Consider the following 20,828-nt stretch of genomic DNA (forward strand, 5'->3'; position numbering starts at 1 on the left):
CATAGCAATGGTAAATTGACATGACACACTCGTGTGTATGTCTGATAGGTAGGAATAAATTAGGTTAGAGCAGACTGGTGTAAGGGAATGAATGAGCCAGTGTCATAATTGGATAGTTAATCAGGAAATGTCTTTCCTTGAAGTCAGCTGATTACCAGTGAGCACATAAGCCAGAGTTCTTCAGAGAACCAGAGCCAATAGGATGTGTAGATATATAAGAGGAATTTATTAAGGAAATTGACTCACATGATTATAGAGGCTGAGAAATCCCACGATATGCCATTTGTGAGCTGGAGAACCAGGGAAACAAGTAGCATAGCTCAGTCCAAGTCTGAAGGCCTGAGAACTGAGAGGGCCACTGGTGCAAGTCCCAGAGTCTGAAGGTTGAAAAACCTGGAGTTCTAATGTCCTAGTGTTGCTGGAGGGCTTAGTAGGGTCTCCAGATGCCAGTGAGACCCTAGCTCCAGCTGGTTTCCAGCTTCATGACACCATTGCAAGTAAGAATTCAAGGAAAAGTCAGAATGAAGTGAAAGGCAAGAAGCTTTTATTGCAAAACAAAAGTACACACTTAAGAGAGAAGTGTGAGTGTGCTCATGAGAATGAGTCACACACAACGAGTTTCTAATTTTATGGGTGTTTCTTTAATTATGGGGTGGAATAATCATTCAGTATTTTGGAAAAGAAAGGGATTTCAGAGACTCCTCCCAGCCCCCTATTCCCCCCATTACCACCCCCTTTCTCCCTTATTTGGGTTTGCCAAGAAGAGTCATGGACATGTCAGCCTGACCAGGGTTTTGGCCATTTTCTCTCCCTTATTTTGAGTTTTCTGTTATCCTGTGGTTTCTTTGCCTAGTTCTTATTTTAACTGTTGTTCAGGTTTTTCCATACTCCTGTGACTACCCAGTGCTACTCCTGTCTCACAGGTCCAGGAGAAGATGGGTGTCCCAGCTCCAGGAGAGAGAGAGTGAATTCACCTCTCTCTTTTTGTTCTACCTGGGCTCTCAGCCCTTTGGATGGTGCCCACCCATGTTGTGTGAGGGCACATTTTCCTTACTCAGAACACAGATTCAAATGCCAATCTCTTCCAGGAACACTCTCACAGACATACATCCAAAATAGTGCTTTACCAGTTATCTGGGTATTCCTTAACCCAGTCAAGTTGACACCTAAAATTAACCATCACATGTTCTTATAATAAGGAGGGGTTGTTCTACATCTCATTACTGGCTCAGGCCGAAGATAGGTCAAAACTTAAGGACCTAGGGGAGGGAGAGGAGCTTAACTAAAGCTTGGTCAAGTTAAATTAGCAGGTATGCTGTCCAAATTGGTCATGGGTACAAACAGTTCAGTTAATCACTTGTAAAGCAAATCATCTGGAGGGTCTGTGTCTAGACAAACAAGGGGGTGGGGCTATCTGTGAGTCTCATCTAAGTCATATGGGGAAGGATGGCTCTTTGCAGGAAGTCATTTCCTAGAACACTAAAGGGTGTGGGGATTTTTAATTGTCACTGTTTTCCAGGAGAGCAGACTCAGGTAAAGTTTAACATTTTCAGACTCTTGGGGAAAATTAGGTTATCTATTCTTCGTTGGCTGAGATAGGATTCATGAAACACTATCATAAAATATGGCACCTTGCCATTTGAGAAAACAGCAGAAGCAAGATGGTCTCTCTGACCTTCTCCCATGATTCTCCCCTGAAGCAGGCCATAAAACATTCCCTTGGCGGGTGCAGTGGCTCACACCTGTAATCCCAGCACTTCGGAAGGCCGAGGCAGGTGAATCACGAGGTCAGGAGTTCGAGACCAGCCTGGCCAATATGGTGAAACCCTGTCTCTACTAAAAATACAAAAAAAAAATGAGCTGGGTATGGTGGTGCGCGCCTGTAGTCCTGCTACTTGGGAGGCTGAGGCAGAAGAATCTTGAACCTGGGAGGCAGAGGTTGCAGTGAGCCAAGATCACACCACTGCACTCCAGCCTGGGCAACAGAGTGAGACTCTGTCTCAAAAAGAAACAAACAAACAAACAAAAAACCAAAAAAAAAACCTTCCCTTAAAAGGCTGGGCATGGTGGCTTTCTCACACCTGTAATCCCAGCATGATGGGAGGCCAAGGTGGATGGATCACCTGAGGTCAGGAGTTTGAGACCAGACTGGCCAACATGGCAAAACCCTGTCTCTACTAAGAATACAAAAATTAGCCAGATGTGGTGGCGTGCACCTGTAATCCCAGCTACTCAGGAGGCTGAGGCCGAGAATCTCCTGAACCCAGGAGGCGGAGGTTACAGTGAGCCAAGATCATACCATTGCACTCTAGCCTGGGCAATAAGAGTGAAACTCTATCTTGAAAATAGTAATAATAATAATAATATCCTTTCTTGCAAAATATAGTAATTAAAAAATTAATCCTACATCACAAACCCTTGTAGCAGACAGAGCACATCTCCCCATATATATGATCATTGCACCTAGGGTGGACACTTTCTTCCTCTTACTTTCAGGGACACCCTACTTTGTCTATGGTGTAGCTGTACTTTCACTACTTTCACACCAGCTCACCAGCAATGGATCCAAACCAAGACAAAATCTGTGAATTGCCAGAAAAAGAATTCAGACAGTCAACTATTAAGCCAACCAAGCAGGCATCAGAGAAAGATGAGGTCCAACTTAAAAAAAATTTTTTAAATGATACAGTATATGAAGGGGAAACTCTCCAGTGAAATAGGTAGCATAAATAAAAATTACAACTTCTGGAAATCAAGGACACATTTAGAGAATTGGAAATGCACTGGAAAGTCTCAGCAATAGACTCAAACAAGAAGGAAAAGAATATCAGAGCTCAAAGACAAGCCTTTCAAATTAACCCAGTTCATCAAAGACCAAGAAAAGAGAATTTTAAAAAATGAACAAAACTTCTAAGAAATTTGGGATTATGTAAAATGACCAAACCTATGAATAATTGTTGTTCCCAAGGAAGACAAGAAATCTAAAATCTTGGAAAACATATTAGAGGTAATAATTGAGAAAAACTTCCCTGGTCTTGCTAGAGATCTAGACATCCAAATACAAGAAGCTCAAAGAACACCTGGGAAATTCATTGCAAAAAGATCATTGCCTAGGCACACACTCATCAGGTTATCTAAAGTCAAGACTAAGGAAAGAATCTTAAGAGCTGTGAGACAAAAACATCAGGAACCTATAAAGGAAACCCTATCAGATTAACAGCAGATTTCTGAGCAGAAACCCTACAAGCTATAAGGGATTGGGGTTCTATGTTTAGCCTCCTAAACAAAACAATTATCAGGCAAGAATTTTGTATACAGTGAAACTTAGCTTCCTAAATGAAGGAAAGATACAATCTTTTTCAGACAAACAAACGCTGAGAGAATTCATCACTACCAAGCCAGCACTATAAAAACTGCTAAAAGGAGCTCCAAATCTTGAAACAAATCCTTGAAATACACCAAAATAGGGTCCCCTGAAAGCATAAATCTCACAGTACTTATAAAACAACAACATGATGAAAAAAAACCAAGTTATTCAGGCAACAAATAGCACAATGAATAGAATAATACCTTGGATCTTAATACTAACACTGAATGTAAATGGCCTAAATGCTCCATTTAAAAGATACAGAATGGCAGAATGGAGAAGAATTCACCAACCAAGTATCTGCTGTCTTCAAGAGACTCACCTAACACATAAGGACTCACATAAACTTAAGGTAAAGGGATGGAAAAAGATATTCCATGCAAATTTACATCAAAAGCAAGCAGAAGTAGCTAGTCTTATATCAGACAAAACAAACTTCAAAGCAACAGCAATTTAAAAAGACAAATAGGGATATTATACAATGATAAAAGGACTAGTCCAGCAGGAAAATATAACAATCCTAACATATATATAAAATATAACAATCCCCATATATACGCTGGAGCTCCAAAATTTATAAAACAATGACTACTAGATCTAAAACATGAGATAGACAGCAACACAATAATAGTGGGATTACTTCAATTCTCCACTGACAGCACTAGACAGCTTATCAAGACAGAAAGTCAACAAAGAAACAATGGACTTAAGCTATATCCTAGAACAAATGGACTTAACAGATATTGACAGATACCCAACAACTGTAGAATATATATTCTATTCACCAGCACATGGAACGTTAAGATAGACCATATAATAGGCCCCAAAACAAGTCTCAACAAATATAGGTAAATGGAAATTATAGCCAGTACTCTCTCAGACCACAGTGGAATAAAACTGGAAATCAACTCCAAAAGGAACCCACAAAACCATGCAAAGACATGGAAATTAAATAACCTGCTCCTGAATGATTGTTGGGTCAACAGTGAAATCAAGATGGAAATTAAAATATTCTTTGAACTGAACAATAATAGTGAAACAACCTATCAAAACTTCTGGGATACAGCAAGGTGGTGTTAAGAGCAAAGTTCATCAAAAAGTCTGAAGGAGCACAAACAGACAATCTGAGGTCACACCTCAAGGAGCTAGAGAAACAAGAACAAACCTAACCCAAATGCAGCAGAAAACAAGAAATAACCAAGATCAGAACAGAACAAAATGAAATTGAAACAAAAAAAAATACAAAAGATAAATGAAACAAAAAGTTGGTCATTTGAAAAGATAAATAAAATTGATAGACCATTAGTGACATTAACAAAGAAAATAAAGGATAAGATCCAAATAAGCTCAATTAGAAACAAAACAGGAGATATTCTGACTAATACCAAGGAGATGGATGAATTCCTGGAAATATGCAACCCTCCTAGATTAAACCAGGAAGAAATGGAAATATGCACCCCTCCTAGATTAAACAGGAAGAAATGGAAACTCTGAACAGACTAATAACAAGCAGCAAGATTGAAATGGTAATTAAGTTACCAACAAAAAAAAAGTCCAGGACCAGAAAGATGGACAGTTGAATTCTATCCAACATTCAAAGAATTGATACCAATTCTACTGACACTACTCCAAAAGATAGAGAAAGAAGGAATCCTCCCTAAGTCATTCTATGAAGCCAGTATCACCCTAATACAAAAACTAGGAAAGGATATAACAAAAAAAGAAAACTGCAGACCAATATCCCTGATGAACGTAGATGCAAAAATCCTCAACAAAATACTAGCTAACCAAATCCAACAGCATAACAAAAAGATAACCCACCATGATCGAGTGGGTTTCATACCAGGGATGCAGGGATGGTTTAACATCGGCAAGTCAATAAATGTGATACACCACATAAACAGAATTAAAAACAAAAATCACACGATCATCTCAATAGATGCAGAAAAAGTATTTGACAAAATCCAGCATCCTTTTATGATTAAAAACCCTCAGCAAGGCCAGGCATGATGACTCACACCTGTGATCCCAGCACTTTTGGAGGCCAAGATGGATGGATCACCTGAGGTCAGGAGTTTGAGACCAGCCTGGCCAACATGGTGAAACCCCATCTCTACTAAAAATATAGAAAAATTAGTCAGGCATGGTGGCACACGCCTGTAATCCCAGCTACTCGGGAGGCTGAGGTAAGAGAACTGCTTGAACCTGGGAGGCGGAGGTTGCAGTGAGCCGGGACCAGGTCATTGCACTCCAGCCTGGGCAACAAGAACAAAACTCCATATCAAAAGAACAAAACAAAACAAAAAAACCCTCAGCAAAATTGGCTTAGAAGGGACATACTTTTCTAGTAAATTTGTTTGAGTTCATTGTAGATTCTGGATATTAGCCCTTTGTCAGATGAGTAGGTTGCGAAAATTTTCTCCCATTTTGTAGGTTGGCTGTTCACTCTGATGGTAGTTTCTTTTGCTGTGCAGAAGCTCTTTAGTTTAATTAGATCCCATTTGCCAATTTTGGCTTTTGTTGCCATTGCTTTTGGTGTTTTAGACATGAAGTCCTTGCCCATGCCTATGTCCTGAATGGTAATGCCTAGGTTTTCTTCTAGGGTTTTTATGGTTTTAGGTCTAACATTTAAGTCTTTAAACCATCTTGAATTAATTTTTGTATAAAGTGTAAGGAAGGGATCCAGTTTCAGCTTTCTACATATGGCTAGCCAGTTTTCCCAGCACCATTTATTAAATAGGGAATCCTTTCCCCATTGCTTGTTTTTCTCAGGTTTGTCAAAGACCAGATAGTTGTAGATATGCAGCATTATTCCTGAGGGCTCTGTTCTGTTCCATTGATCTATATCTCTGTTTTGGTACCAGTACCACGCTGTTTTGGTTACTGTATAGCCTTGTAGTATAGTTTGAAGTCAGGTAGCGTGATGCCTCCAGCTTTGTTCTTTTGGCTTAGGATTGACTTGGCAATGTGGGCTCTTTTTTGGTTCCATGTGAACTTTAAAGTAGTTTTTTCCAATTCTGTGAAGAAAGTCATTGGTAGCTTGATGGGCATGGCATTGAATCTATAAATTACCTTGAGCAGCATGGCCATTTTCACAATATTGATTCTTCCTACCCATGAGCATGGAATGTTCTTCCATTTGTTTGTATCCTCTTTTATTTCATTGAGCAGTGGTTTGTAGTTCTTCACGTCCCTTGTAAGTTGGATTCCTAAGTATTTTATTCTCTTTGAAGCAACTGTGAATGGGAGTTCACTCATGATTTGGCTCTCTGTCTGTTATTGGTGTATAAGAATGCTTGTGATTTTTGTACATTGATTTTGTATCCTGAGACTTTGCTGAAGTTGCTTATCAGCTTAAGGAGATTTTGGGCTGAGACAATGGGGTTTTCTAGATATAGAATCATGTCGTCTGCAAACAGGGACAATTTGACTTCCTCTTTTCCTAATTGAATGCCCATTATTTCCTTCTCCTGCCTAATTGCCCTGGCCAGAACTTCCAACACTATGTTGAATAGGAGTGGTGAGAGAGGGCATCCCTGTCTTGTGCCAGTTTTCAAAGGGAATGCTTCCAGTTTTTGCCCATTCAGTATGATATTGGCTGTGGGTTTGTCATAGATAACCCCATCAAAAAGTGGGCAAAGGATATGAACAGACACTTCTCAAAGGAAGACATTTATGCAGCGAAAAGACACACGAAAAAATGCTCATCATCACTGGCCATCAGAGAAATGCAAATCAAAACCACAATGAGATACCATCTCTCACCAGTTAGAATGGCAATCATTAAAAAGTCAGGAAACAACAGGTGCTGGAGAGGATGTGGAGAAATAGGAACCCTTTTACCCTGTTGGTGGGAATGTAAACTAGTTCAACCATTGTGGAAGTCAGTGTGGCGATTCCTCAGGGATCTAGAACTAGAAATACCATTTGACCCAGCCATCCCATTACTGGGTATATACCCAAAGGACTATAAATCATGCTGCTATAAAGACACATGCACACTTACGTTTATTGCGACACTATTCACAATAGCAAAGACTTGGAACCAACCCAAATGTCCAACAAGGGTAGACTGGATTAAGAAAATGTGGCACATATACACCATGGAATTCTATGTAGCCATAAAAAATGATGAGTTCATGTCCTTTATAGGGACATGGATGAAATTGGAAATCATCATTCTCAGTAAACTATCTCAAGGACAAAAAACCAAACACCGCATGTTCTCACTCATAGATGGGAATTGAACAATGAGAACACATGGACACAGGAAGGGGAACATCACACTCTGGGGACTGTTGTGGGGTGAGGGGAAGGGGGACGGATAGCATTAGGAGATAAACCTAATGCTAAATGATGAGTTAATGGGTGCAGCACACCAGCATGGCACATGTATACATATGAAACTAACCTGCACATTGTGCACATGTACCCTAAAACTTAAAGTATAATAATAATAATAATAAAAAGAAGGGACATACTTTAAAATAATTAAAGCCATCTATGACAAATCCACAGCCAACATTATACTGAATGAGGAAAAGTTGACAGTATTCCCCCGGAGAAATGGAACAAGACAAAGATGCCTACTTTCATCACTTCTATTCAACATAGTATTGGAAGTTCTAGCCACAGCAACCAGACAAGAGAAAAAAACATAAATAAATAAGGGCATCCAGATTGATAAAGGAGAAGTCAAACTGTTGCTGTTTGCTGATGACATGGTTTTATACCTAGAAAACCCTAAAGGCTCATCCAAAAAGCTCCTAAAACTGGTAAATGAATTCAGCCAACTTTCAGGACTCAAAATTAAGGTACAGAAATCAGTAGCCCTGCTATACACCAACAGCAACAAAGCTGAGAATCAAATCAAGAAGTCAACCCCTTTTAGAATAGCTGCAATAACATAATATAAAAATACTTAGGAATATGCTTAACCAAGGAGCTGAAAGATCTCTATAAGGAAAACTACAAAACACTGCTGAAAGAAATAATAGATGACACAAACAAATGGAATCGCATCCCATGTTCATGGATGGATAGAATCAATATTGTGAAAAATGACCATACTGCCAAAAGCAATCTACAAATTCAATGCAGTTTTTATCAAAATACCACCATTAGTCTTCACAGAACTAGAAAAACAATTCTAAAGTTCATATGGAACAAAAAAACAGCCCGCATAGCCAAAGCAAGACTAAACAAAAAACAAAAGCAAAAACAAATCTGGAGGCATTACATTACCTGACTTAAAACTATACTATCAGGCCATAGTCACCAAAACAGAATGGTACTGGTATAAAAACAAGCATATAGACTAATGGAACAGAATAGAGAACTCAGAAATAAAGTCTAATACTTACAGTCAACTTATCTTCAACAAAGCAAACAAAAACATAAAGTGGAAAAGGGACACCTTATTCAACAAATGGTGCTGGCATAATTGGCAAGCCATGTGTAGAAGAATGAAACTGGATCCTCATCTCTCACCTTATACAAAAATCAACTCAAGATGGATCAAAGGCTTAAATCTAACACCTGAAACCATAAAAATTCCAGAAGATACCAGCCTGGGTGAAATAGTGAAATCCTGTCCCTACTAAAAATACAAAAAATTAGCCAGGTATGGTGGTGTGCACCTGTAACCCCAGCTACTCAGGAGGTTGAGACAGGAGAACCTGGGAGGTGGAGGTTGCATTGAGCCGAGATGGTGCCACTGCACTCTAGCCTGGGCAATAAGAGTGAAACTCTGTCTTAAAAAAAAAAAAAAAAGGGGGCCGTGCACGGTGGCTCACGCCTGTAATCCCAGCACTTTGGGAGGCTGAGGCGGGCTGATCACGAGGTCAGGAGATCAAGACCATCCTGGCTAACAAGGTGAAACCCCGTCTCTATTAAAAATACAAAAAATTAGCCAGATGTGGTGGTGAGCACCTGTAGTCCCAGCTACTTGGGAGGCTGAGGCAGGAGAATGGCGTGAACCCGGGAGGCAGAGCTTGCAGTGAGCTGAGATTGCGCCACAGCACTCCAGCCTGGGTGACAGAGCGAGACTCCGTCTCAAAAAAAAAAAAAAAAAAAAAAAAAAAGAAGATAACATTGGAAAAACCCTTCTAGACATTGGCTTAGGCAAAGACTTCATAACCAAGAACCCAGAAGCAAACACAACAAACAAAAACAAAGATAAATAGATGGAACTTAATTAAACTATAAGCTTCTGCACAGCAAAAGAACTCATCACAGAGTAAACAGACAACCTACAGAGTGGGAGAAAATCATTGCAATCTATACATCTGACAAAGGACTAATATCCAGAATCTACAAGGAACTCAAACAAATTAGCAAGAACAAAACAAACAATCCCATCCAAAAGTGGGCTAAGGACTTGAATACATAATTATCAAAAGAAGATACACAAATACCCAACAAACATGGATAAATGCTCAACATCATTAATTATCAGGGAAATGCAAATCAAAACCACAATGTGATACCACCTTACTCCTGCAAGAATGGCCATAATAAATAATACATGTTGGCGTGGATGTGGTGAAAGAGAACACTTTTACATTGTTGGTGGGAATGTAAACTAGTACAACCACTATAGATAACAGCGTGGAGATTTCTTAAAGAACTAAAAGTAAATCTACCATTTCATCCAGGAATCCCACTCCTGGGTATCTATCCAAAGGAAAAGAAGTCATTATATGAAAAAGATACTTGCACACACATGTTTATAGTAGCATAATTCCAATTACAAAGATATGGAACCAGCCCAAATGCTATCAATGAGTGGATAAAGAAAATGTGATATATATACCATGGAATACTACTCAGACATGAAAAGGAATGAAATAATGGCATTTGCAGCAACCCTGGATGGAACTGGAGACCATTATTCTAAGTGAAGTAACTCAGAAATGGAAAATGAAACATCGTATGTTCTCACTCATAAGTGGGAGCTAAGCAATGAGGATGCAAAGGCATGAGAATGATCCAATGGACTTTGGGGACTTAGAGGAAAGGGTGGGAGGGGGTGAGGGATAAAAGACTACACACTGGGGCCGGGCGTGGTGGCTCACGCCTGTAATCCCAGCACTTTGGGAGGCCAAGGTGGGCGGATCACGAGGTCAGGAGATCGAGACCATCCTGGCTAACACAGTGAAACCCCGTCTCTATTAAAATACAAAAATACAAAAAATTAGCCGGGCGTGGTGGCAGGCGCCTGTAGTCCCAGCTACTCAGGAGGCTGAGGCAGGAGAATGGCATGAACCCGGGAGGTGGAGCTTGCAGTGAGCTGAGATCGCGCCACTGCACTCCAGCCTGGGCGACAGAGTGAGACTCCGTCTCAAAAAAAAAAAAAAAAAAAAAAAAAAAAGACTACACATAGGGCACCGTTACATTCCTTGGATGATGGGTGCACCAAAATCTCACAAATCATCACTAAAGAACTTACTCATGTAACCAAATGCCACCTGTTCCTCAAAAACCTATTGAAAAAAAATGAAATCACAATTCTATTTCCACTTTTTCTTTTTTTTTTTGAGATGGAGTCTCACTCTGTCGCCCAGGCTGGAGTGCAGTGGCGCGATCTCGGCTCACTGTAAGCTCCACCTCCCGGGTTCATGCCATTCTTCTGCCTCAGCCTCCTGAGTAGCTGGGACTACAGGTGCCCGCCACCACGCCCGGCTAATTTTTTGTATTTTTAATAGAGACAGGGTTTCACCGTGTTAGCCAGTATGATCTCGATCTCCTGACCTCGTGATCCGCCCGCCTCGGCCTCCCAAAGTGCTGGGATTACAGGCATGAGCCACCGCGACCAGCCCTATTTTCACATCTTTAATAATCATTCCTATTGTCGTCAGATATCCAGTGTGTTCAGATTTTCCAGATTGTTCTGCAGGAGTGTGTGTGTGTGTGTGTGTGTGTGTGTGTTTGTGTGTGTGACTTATGATTCAAATAAAGTCGATGGTCTTCTTTAGAAGAAAAGAATGCTTAGCTCAAATGAAGAATAAAAGGAAATGTTAAGGCTGAGATGGAAACAGTAGGAGCAGAATAAACAAAACAAACAAACAAAAAAACCAAACCACTGAACTGTAAGTGAGGAGTAACAGATTAATAACCCAGCTCTGCCACTATAACTGCCTACATAATTTTAAGAAAGTTTTATTTAACTTTTCTGGAGTCACTTTCTTCCTCATCTATAAATGAAGATAGATTATATTACTTCTTATTTGCCTTCATGGTCTGACAGTAATTTTCAAATTGATATTTTATTTTTCACAAACAGAAAAAAGTTTTAAAATTATTTTTATAAAGATCAATATTGCTTTTTACTAAGTTATTGAGAGACTCAAACTGTTGACTCTACTCGTTGTTTAATGAATTTCCCATACAGAATTGTGTTATGTATGTGTATATGTGCGTATATATATATCAGTATATATATATATATATATATATATATATGCACAAACATTCATTGTTTAGATTACTTTGCACAAATGAACCTATTTTTAATGTCTATTCACAATAAATTTCCCAAAATAAATTATTTGGTCTTAAATTACAAAAACAAACAAACCAGAAAATGTGTTTTGGCTGGGCACGGTGGCTCAAACCTGTAATCCCAGCACTTTGGGAAGCCAAGGGGGGCAGATCACGAGGTCAGGAGATCGAGACCATCCTGGCTAACATGGTGAAACCCCGTCTCTACTAAAAAAATACAAAAAAATTAGCCAGGTGTGGTGGTGGATGCCTGCAGTCCCAGCTACTCTGGAGGCTGAGGCAGGAGAATGGCGTGAACCCGGGAGGCAGAGCTTGCAATGAGCTGAGACTGAGCCACTGCACTACAGCCTGGGCAACAGAGCGAGACTGCATCTCAACAACAACAACAAAAAAACGCAGTGGAAAAGTTTCCACAAACCTTTGTTGGGGAAATATAATTAAAAACAAATCCTTCTTCCAACCCAGAAATTCTCTCTACAAAGGTAGCAGGGAAAGAATACACTATTAAAGAAGCATTAAACTAGAATGTAACACATATCACAGGCAACCTACAAAGAGATTGAAAAGGCAGAAAGAAATCTCGCCTCCTTATATAGCCGAACAGATACAACCCATTACATACATGCTTTCAAGATAAACAATAACTAGTCTTCAAATAAGAGGTCTTGGCAGCACCTTTTGTCACATGGTTTTTCCCAACTTTATTGTGGTAATTGGAGTGACCATCTATGTTAGCTAATTGGCTTTATCCAGAGGAAAATCTTCTCAACTTTTTATGGCAGAGGTAGTTTTGCAACTTCAAGCAGGGCACCCACCGAAGCTAAGCTCTAATTTTTGCTATTCAAAGAGATGGCTTTCAGGTCCTCGAGAAAAACATTCCTTGGTCATGGAGCTGAGAAAAGGCCAGTTGGCAAAAGTCCTGCCTAGTCTTCAAAAGCCTATATATACATATGTATTTCAAAGAAAAGAGAAAATACTTACAAGTTTTCTAAGGTAAATGTCCTGAGAAAAAGGAGGGGAGGGAAATCTCTTCTCCTGTTTTCACCAGAGTAAATTGAACCTCTTATTTTTAATTTGCATTTGCCCTTATATTTTCTATGTGAAAACACATTTTCTTTTTTCTTCTCTTTTCTTTTCTTTTTTTTTTTTGACGGAGTCTCCCTCAGCCACCCAGGCTGGAGTGCAGTGGCATGATCTTGGCTCACCACAACCACCATCTCCTGGGTTCAAGTGATTCTCCCATCTCAGCCTCCCGAGTAGCTGGGATTACAGGCACCCGCCATCATGCCCGGCTAATTTTTGTATTTTAGTAGAGACAGGGTTTCACCTTGTTGGCCAGGCTGGTCTTGAACTCCTGACCTCAGGTGATCCATCCACCTTGGCCTCCCAAAGTGCTGGGATTACAGGCGTGAGCCACCGCACCCGGCCACTCCACTGCCTCTTTTTTAAAATTAAAATTTAAATGTTTTTTCAATTGCCTCTTAAATGGATTTGTAAATATGAAAATTTCTCTTTGGGAGGCTGAGGAGGGAGAATCACTTAAGCCTAGGAGTTCAAGACCAGCCTAGGCAAAATGGCAAGACCTGGTCTCCACAAAGCAAGAAAGAAAAAGAGATAGAGAGGAAAGAAGGAAAGAAGGAAGGAAGGGAGGGAGGGAGGAAGGAAGGAAGGAAGGAAGGAAGGAAGGAAGGAAGGAAGGAAGGAAGGAAGGAAGGGAAGGAGGAAGGGAGGGAGGGAGGAAGGAAATTTTCTTATTTCCTTTGCACTTGCATCAAGTTGTGATCTGAAAACTACTTCTGGAACTGTGATTTGAGTTCAAAAAACATGCCTGCAGCCAGTTTGGATAGGAGTGAAGATCTCACTTCTTTTTTTAACTTTCAATAGCCAAAAAAAGCATATAGAGCAGCTTGATTTTGCTTGTGATTCAGACTATGTCAGTTGTCAGAATAACTTTACTACAGTATAAGTTTCACATATAAGAACTGTTTTGCCTTGTAATTCATTGGGAAACATTATCAAGTCTACAACAAAAATCCAGTTTCCAAAGCCATTTTCTTTTTTTTTTTTTTTTTGAGACGGAGTCTCGCTCTGTTGCCCAGGCCAGACTGCGGACTGCAGTGGCGCAATCTCGGCTCACTGCAAGCTCCGCTTCCCGGGTTCATGCCATTCTCCTGCCTCAGCCTCCCGAGTAGCTGGGACTACAGGCGCCCGCCACCGCGCCCGGCTAATTTTTTGTATTTTTAGTAGAGACGGGGTTTCACCTTGTTAGCCAGGATGGTCTCGATCTCCTGACCTCATGATCCACCCGCCTCGGCCTCCCAAAGTGCTGGGATTACAGGCGTGAGCCACCACGCCCGGCCTCCAAAGCCATTTTCTTTTGTTTTGTTTTGTTTGTTTTGAGACAGAGTCTCACTCTGTCACCCAGGCTGGAGTGCAGTGGCGCAATATCGGCTCACTGAAAGCTCCGCCTCCCAGGTTCACGCCATTCTCCTGCCTCAGCCTCCCAAGTAGCTGGGACTACAGGCGCCCGCCACCACGCCCAGCTAATTTTTTTATATTTTTAGTAGAGACAGGGTTTCACCGTGTTAGCCAGGATGGTCTCGATTTCCTGACCTCGTGATCCACCTGCCTCAGCCTCCCAAAGTGCTGGGATTACAGACGTGAGTCACCACGCCCAGCTGCCATTCAGTTTTGATAATGGTTGAAGATGGTTCTTATTTAGAAAAAATTCAATCTTAGTTCTGATTTCAAAAAATCATAATAAAACTTTATCACTCCTAAGTCATTCAACTAGCATATAGTAGGGCAAGTTGGGATATCTAGCTTTTATTTCTGACAAAAATATACAGAACTGACAGTGATTTGGTCTACAAGAGCAAATGAAGCTCACTGTTGACATTACTGGTTCAACAACATATCTAAGGCATTTCCACACACTATCTTCTATGAATAACCATGTGTTTTTAACAACCTACATGCTCACAAGCCTTGTGCATTTATCGACTAAGACTTTCCTGCTTCACACATTTTTTTTTTGTTTTGTTTTACTGTCATTTGTATCACTCTTAGCAGATTCTACTTTAGGTTGTACTGAATTGGTGTTTTCTCAGCTTCGTTGAAAATATTCTTACCTGCAGTTGTTATGTGCGTATTACTCATAAAGGATAATTCTTTAGTCACTTCAAACTCAGCACTGACTTCTAGAATATCAACAACTGATCAGTAGAGCAGTATCAGTAACATCTGTCAACTCATCAAGAGCCAGGAATTGCTTAAGTCCAGGAGTTGGATACCAGCCTGGGCAACATATTAAGACCCCCACCTCTACAAAAAAAATTTTTTTTAATTAGCTGGGTGTGGTGGCACATGCCTGCAGTCTCAGCTACTCAGGAGGCTGAGGCAGGAGGATTCCTTGAGCCCAGGAGCTGGAGGCTGCAGTAAGCTATGATTGTGCCACTGCATTCCAGTCTAGGTGACAGAGCAAGACTCTGTCTCTTAAGAAAAAACAGTCCTAGGCAAGTGCTATTGAAAGTGGAAAGTTTAGAGAATGCTATCTTTGATAAATGGAAAGCCCAACTCAAAATGGCTTAATGAAAAAGGAAATGTTTTGGTATGGGTTACTGAACAACCAAGGGAGGGTGGGCTTCAGGGTTAGCTAAGGCCAGTAACTCTGGCTCTGTTACACTTTGAATTTCTTGCTCTGCCCTCCTCTAGGTATTGGCTTCATCCCCAGGCAGAGAGCAACATGATTATGGTGTTCTGTCTCTGATAGCCACTCACAATTTTGTCCCCTACAAGACAGAACTGTTTCTGTATGCTTGCTCAGAATGCCAAAAAATCTTTTTCAGGTGCCTCCTTTCTCTCTCCCTAGCCCAAAATGGGTCATACATCCTGGACAGATGACAAAAACCACTATACATTTTCCCCCCGCCTCTCTGGAATGCCACTTGCAGCTCTTCCCATTAAGTGGTAGAGTCTATTTCTCTACCCCTTGAACATGGTCTCAGCACGTGAGTTGTTTTTGCCAGTGAAACATTAGTAAATTTGTTGTAAGCGGAGACTTAAAAAGTGTTTGTACATTGGAGCTTGCCATCTTTTGCTGATCTGTGGAACTCTGAGGCTACCATGTTAAGAAGCCTGTGATTGAGGGAGGACAAGTGACCATGTGGAGCAGAAACAAGACATCCCAGCTGAGCACTGCCCCCCACCCCAACCCTCACCAACCAACAAGATGTGAGAATGAGGCCATGCTGTCCTAAACAACCGACTTTGAGCCAGCCCAGATATGAAAACCACTTAGATGACCCACAGAATTATGAGAAGTAATAAATGTTTGTTATTTTAAGCCACTAAGTTTAGGAGTGGTTCGTTAAGAAGCAAAAGCTAACTGATATATGCCCATTTCTGAGGCAGTCATAGGCAAGGGGAATTGCATTACTCTTAAGTGAATCAAGAGACCCCTTTGGAGTTGGGATTAAGTTGTTTCCATGACGACCATGGCTGCATGGAAGAAGCCATGTTTTGTCAAAACAAAATGGGGTTTTGACAGGAAGAAAAAGAGGGAGAAAATGCTTGTTGAATTTGGCAACTACTAATTCACTAAATATACTCTACACCAAACTTTATGTTGCTTCTTTAAGAAGGAAAACAAAGTTACCATTAGAAGGACTAGGCATAGGAACCAACATATATTTCTGTGTAGTGAGTGTGTCCTGTAGTATGCTTTGGGAGGGCAGCTGAGCTACCAAAACTTGGATTTCACAGTAGCAGGGGTTGGCCCTTTACAGAAAGCTAGTGATTAGTTTAGGTTTTGAGAGTCATGTGATCTCTGTCACAACTACTCAATTCCACCATTGTTGTGTGGAAGTAGCAATAGAAAGAAAGGAAATAAACTAGCATAGTTGTGTTCCAGTAAAACTTTTTTTTGAAAAACAAGCAATGGGCTGGATTTGACCTACAGTTTGCCAATCCATCAACCAGAGAAGCAATGTGCAATGCTGTACAGAGTGTAGTTCACGCAATCAGGTGTCACCCAATGTACACATTTGTATTGTACATTTCATATAATTTTCTTGGGGAGGAAATCTGAGTTACCAGCAGTTGTATTTCCTGGAGAAAGGTAATAATACACTACTGTGCATTGGGCACTACGTGTACCCCGATGTAAGAAGACAAAGATAAAAATACTTGTTTGTCAGAGATTAAACATACAACTTTGGGCCTTGCTTTCTTTACATAATCTGCAGAGGGGAATAAAGTTAGGTGTATTTCTGTCTCATGCAGAGAAGTGACATAGCTTTGTGGAGTGTGTAACTCTTACAACTTTCATGGGAAAAATGCCAAGTTGTGAAGAATTCCATTTCACCCAGAAAAGCAATATTCTTCTTAGTGCATTGTGTTCAGTGCTTAACTGCTCAAAAAAAAGTAGATCAAGCATGTTTTTTGGCTATAAACCAAGCAGGAACCCAAAGAAAAAGGAAAAGCAAAAAGAATTTAGTATTTTTAATAATGCTTTGAAGTAGGAGAAAATTCAAAACTTGATTGAATTCCTTAAACGTATGGTTATTTTCTTTTGAATTGTGTAATGAAGTTCGGGTGGCTCACTGCATTTTTCATATTTAGAGCCTCAAAAAATCTTAATCTTGCACTGCCTCTGTAAATTGTGTTACCTTCATGGAGAAGAAAGATGAGTTATTAGTAAGGATTTATCACTTAGGTTAATAATATATATTTCTAAACAATCTTTTCTTCATGTAATCTGCTGGAGTGAAAAACTGAGTTTCCAGTAGTGGTATCTCACCGAAAAGGGAAATTCGGCTGGGTGCAGTGGTTCACACCTGTAATCCCAGCACTTTGGAGGCCAAGGCGGGTGGATCACTTGAGGGCAGGAGTTCGAGACCAGCCTGGCCAACATGGTGATACTCCGTCTTTCCTAAAAATACAAGAATTAGCCGGGTGTAGTGATGTGCTCCTGTAATCCCCACTACTCAGGAGGCTGAGGCAGGAGAATCACTTGAACCTGGGAGGCAGAGATTGCAAGGAGCCAAGATCATGACACTAGACTCCAGCCTGGATGACAGAGCCAGAGTCCATCTCAGAAAAAAAAAAAAAAAATAGAGAGAAAAAAGAAAGAAAGAAAAGAAGGGAAATTCACTCGTATGGACTTTGTATTTCCTATAATCTGTTGGATTGGAAAGATGAATTATTAGCAGTTTTAGCTCTCCTAAAGTCACAACTTTCATGTCTGTAGAATGTCCCTTTTTATATATTCCCTTTGGAGAGGTAATCAGGTGGGAAAGCATTTAGCATCCAACTTGGTGGATAGTCCAAAGGTTATTTTTTATTATTTAACAAGGTTCCCAGGGGAGGCAGTTGAGGGCTGCTATAGCAGCTCCAGAACCAGGCTCATTTTTTCCTCAAGTCCTGCCACCTTACAATATGTTTAGTAGTTTCATGCTTGACACTTCTTGATTATAAGATGGCTGCTGCATCAGCAGGCTCATAAGTGTGTTCCAGAAAAGGAGAAGGAGAAAGTGCAAAGGACAAAAAACATTTTCCAATTAAGTCTGTTCTTTCTAATTAGGAAAAAAGCAACATTCCTGGAGGGCCCATCTATAAGCTATAAGCTCTCCATTTATATTTTCTTTCTTTCCTTTTTTCTTTTCTTTTCTTTTTCTTTTTTTTTTCTTTTTCTTTTTCTTTTTTTTTTTTTTTTTTGAGACAGAGTCTTGCTCTGTTACCCAGCCTGGAGTGCAGTGGCACATTCTCTGCTCACTGCAACCTCTGCCTCCCAGGTTCAAGCGATTCTCCTGCCTCAGCCTCCCAAGTAACTAGGACAACAGTTAGCTCAGCTAATTTTTATACTTTTAGTGGAGATGGGGTTTTGCCACGTTGGTCAGGCTGGTCTTGAACTCCTGACCTCAGGTGATCTGCCTGCCTCGGCCTCCAAAACTGCTGGGATTACAGGCATGAGCCACCATGCCTGGCCCTCCATTTATATGTTCTAGGCTAGAGATGTATCATATGGCCAGCTTTAGCTGAGAAAGAACTTGAGAAATCTGGGCACAGTGCCACTCTGAACAAAATTCAGTTTGGCTATAAGGAGGATGAGGAGAATAGATATTTTGTGGGCAACTTGCAGTACTTGCCATGATATCCTTGCTAAACTGGTGGCCAGTGGATCTAAAATTCATGGATATAGTTCTGACTCGCTTACAGATGGTGTGGGGAAAAAGGAGAAAATTTAGACAAGGACAACTGAAATGATGAAAAGGAAAGAGGATTGTCTGCTGTAGCCTTCAAGGGACACTGGGCTTGGAATTCAAAGTTCTAGCTTTCTGACCTGATTCTGTAATGTACAAACTGTGTGACACTGGTTGACTTAACTTCTTTTTTTTTTTTTTTTTTTTTGAGACGGAGTCTCGCTCTGTCGCCCAGGCTGGAGTGCAGTGGCGGGATCTCGGCTCACTGCAAGCTCCGCCTCCCGGGTTCACGCCATTCTCCTGCCTCAGCCTCCCAAGTAGCTGGGACTACAGGCGCCCGCCACTACGCCCGGCTAATTTTTTGTATTTTTAGTAGAGACGGGGTTTCACCGTTTTAGCCGGGATGGTTGAGTTAACTTCTATAAGCCTGTTACCGTTGTCTGTAAGATGGCGATGGAATGTTAGAAAGAAAGGGAGAATGGATATTGGATAAGCAAATGCAAACTTACTAATAGTTACATCTTGCATAGAAAAACAGCCGACCTCCCTATGGCATATTCTTCATATAATCTCTTTTTTTACACCAAACATACTTTATTAGCACAAAAAAGCAGTCATAACAAGGCACAGCAAGCAAAAACATACATTAGCAGTCAAAGGGTTAGTGTTGTATACAAATATAGCTTTTCTTTTTTGCAGCCTTGGCGATAGCCATAAAGATGTAAAATAACATTCTGTAGCAGCAGGTAAGGAAACTATGAAGCACTCACCAGTGATACAGAGCACATTAACAAAAAGGCACAAGAATGGATTCGGCTACTTTAGTGCAAAATGTCTAGGACTGCAAATTCAGTTCAGTTATTAAGAAACAAACACTAGAACTTGATATAACTTCCAAAAGAGCTCACTCACGTAGTAGCACATATTATTCTAAGTGACAAAAACGTGCTAAGTTATTTACAGATATAATGGCTGTACAGTACCTTTTAAATCTGCAATTTAGGTTTCTGATTTTCCATTAAGAATTAACTGCACTGGGCTGGGCGCAGTGGCTCACGCCTGTAATCCCAGCACTTTGGGAGGCTGAGGCGGGTGGATCACGAGGTCAGGAAATCGAGACCATACTGGCCAACACGGTGAAACCCCGTCTCTACTAAAAGTACAAAAAATTAGCAGGGCGTGGTGGCGGGCGCCTGTAGTCCCAGCTACTCGGGAAGCTAAGGCAGGAGAATGGCATGAACCCGGGAGACAGAGCTTGCAGTGAGTCGAGATCGCGCCACTGCACTCCAGCCTGGGCGACAGAGAGAGACTCCGTCTCAAAAAAAAAAAAAAGAATTAACTGCACTGAAATTCTATAAATTATACTTAAGCAATTCAGGTATGAGAGTTTACAAAAAAGAGATAAATACTGCCATCCAAATTATTAATTACAGTTCAACAATAACCTCAATATCAGCAACCAGCAACCATTGTAGTTACTATTATCTGACTTGCTTGGGCATCTTCTAGTCTCATGTACTTCATAGTTCACAAAATCATCCTGGACATAGGAAAAGATCCAACTTTTATGAAACAATTAGACTGTACATCAACTGAAAAAAAATCACACGCAAGACTGCATTGCAACAGGTATTTCAAATGCCTGTTTTAAGTTAAAGCACTCATTAAAAAAAAAAAACCTAGGGCCTTTCAATAAAATTCTACTACTAGCTTTGTAAGTCTGAAATTTTAAGAATGGCTATTTAGAAAATCTGGTT

The 20,828-nt window shown here is 40.6% G+C and overlaps 1 annotated feature.

Moving 5' to 3' along the window:
- Positions 15,942 to 16,149: a silencer, noted in NCBI's record as "fragment chr3:44744951-44745158 (GRCh37/hg19 assembly coordinates)". NCBI's record gives its function as "represses an EF-1alpha promoter that drives an FKBP-Casp9 reporter gene in an ReSE screen in HepG2 liver carcinoma cells {active_cell/tissue: HepG2}" and the evidence as "EXISTENCE:reporter gene assay evidence [ECO:0000049][PMID:32094911]".

This window comes from Homo sapiens, chromosome 3, assembly GCF_000001405.40.
Source record: "Homo sapiens chromosome 3, GRCh38.p14 Primary Assembly".
Lineage (NCBI taxonomy): Eukaryota > Metazoa > Chordata > Mammalia > Primates > Hominidae > Homo > Homo sapiens.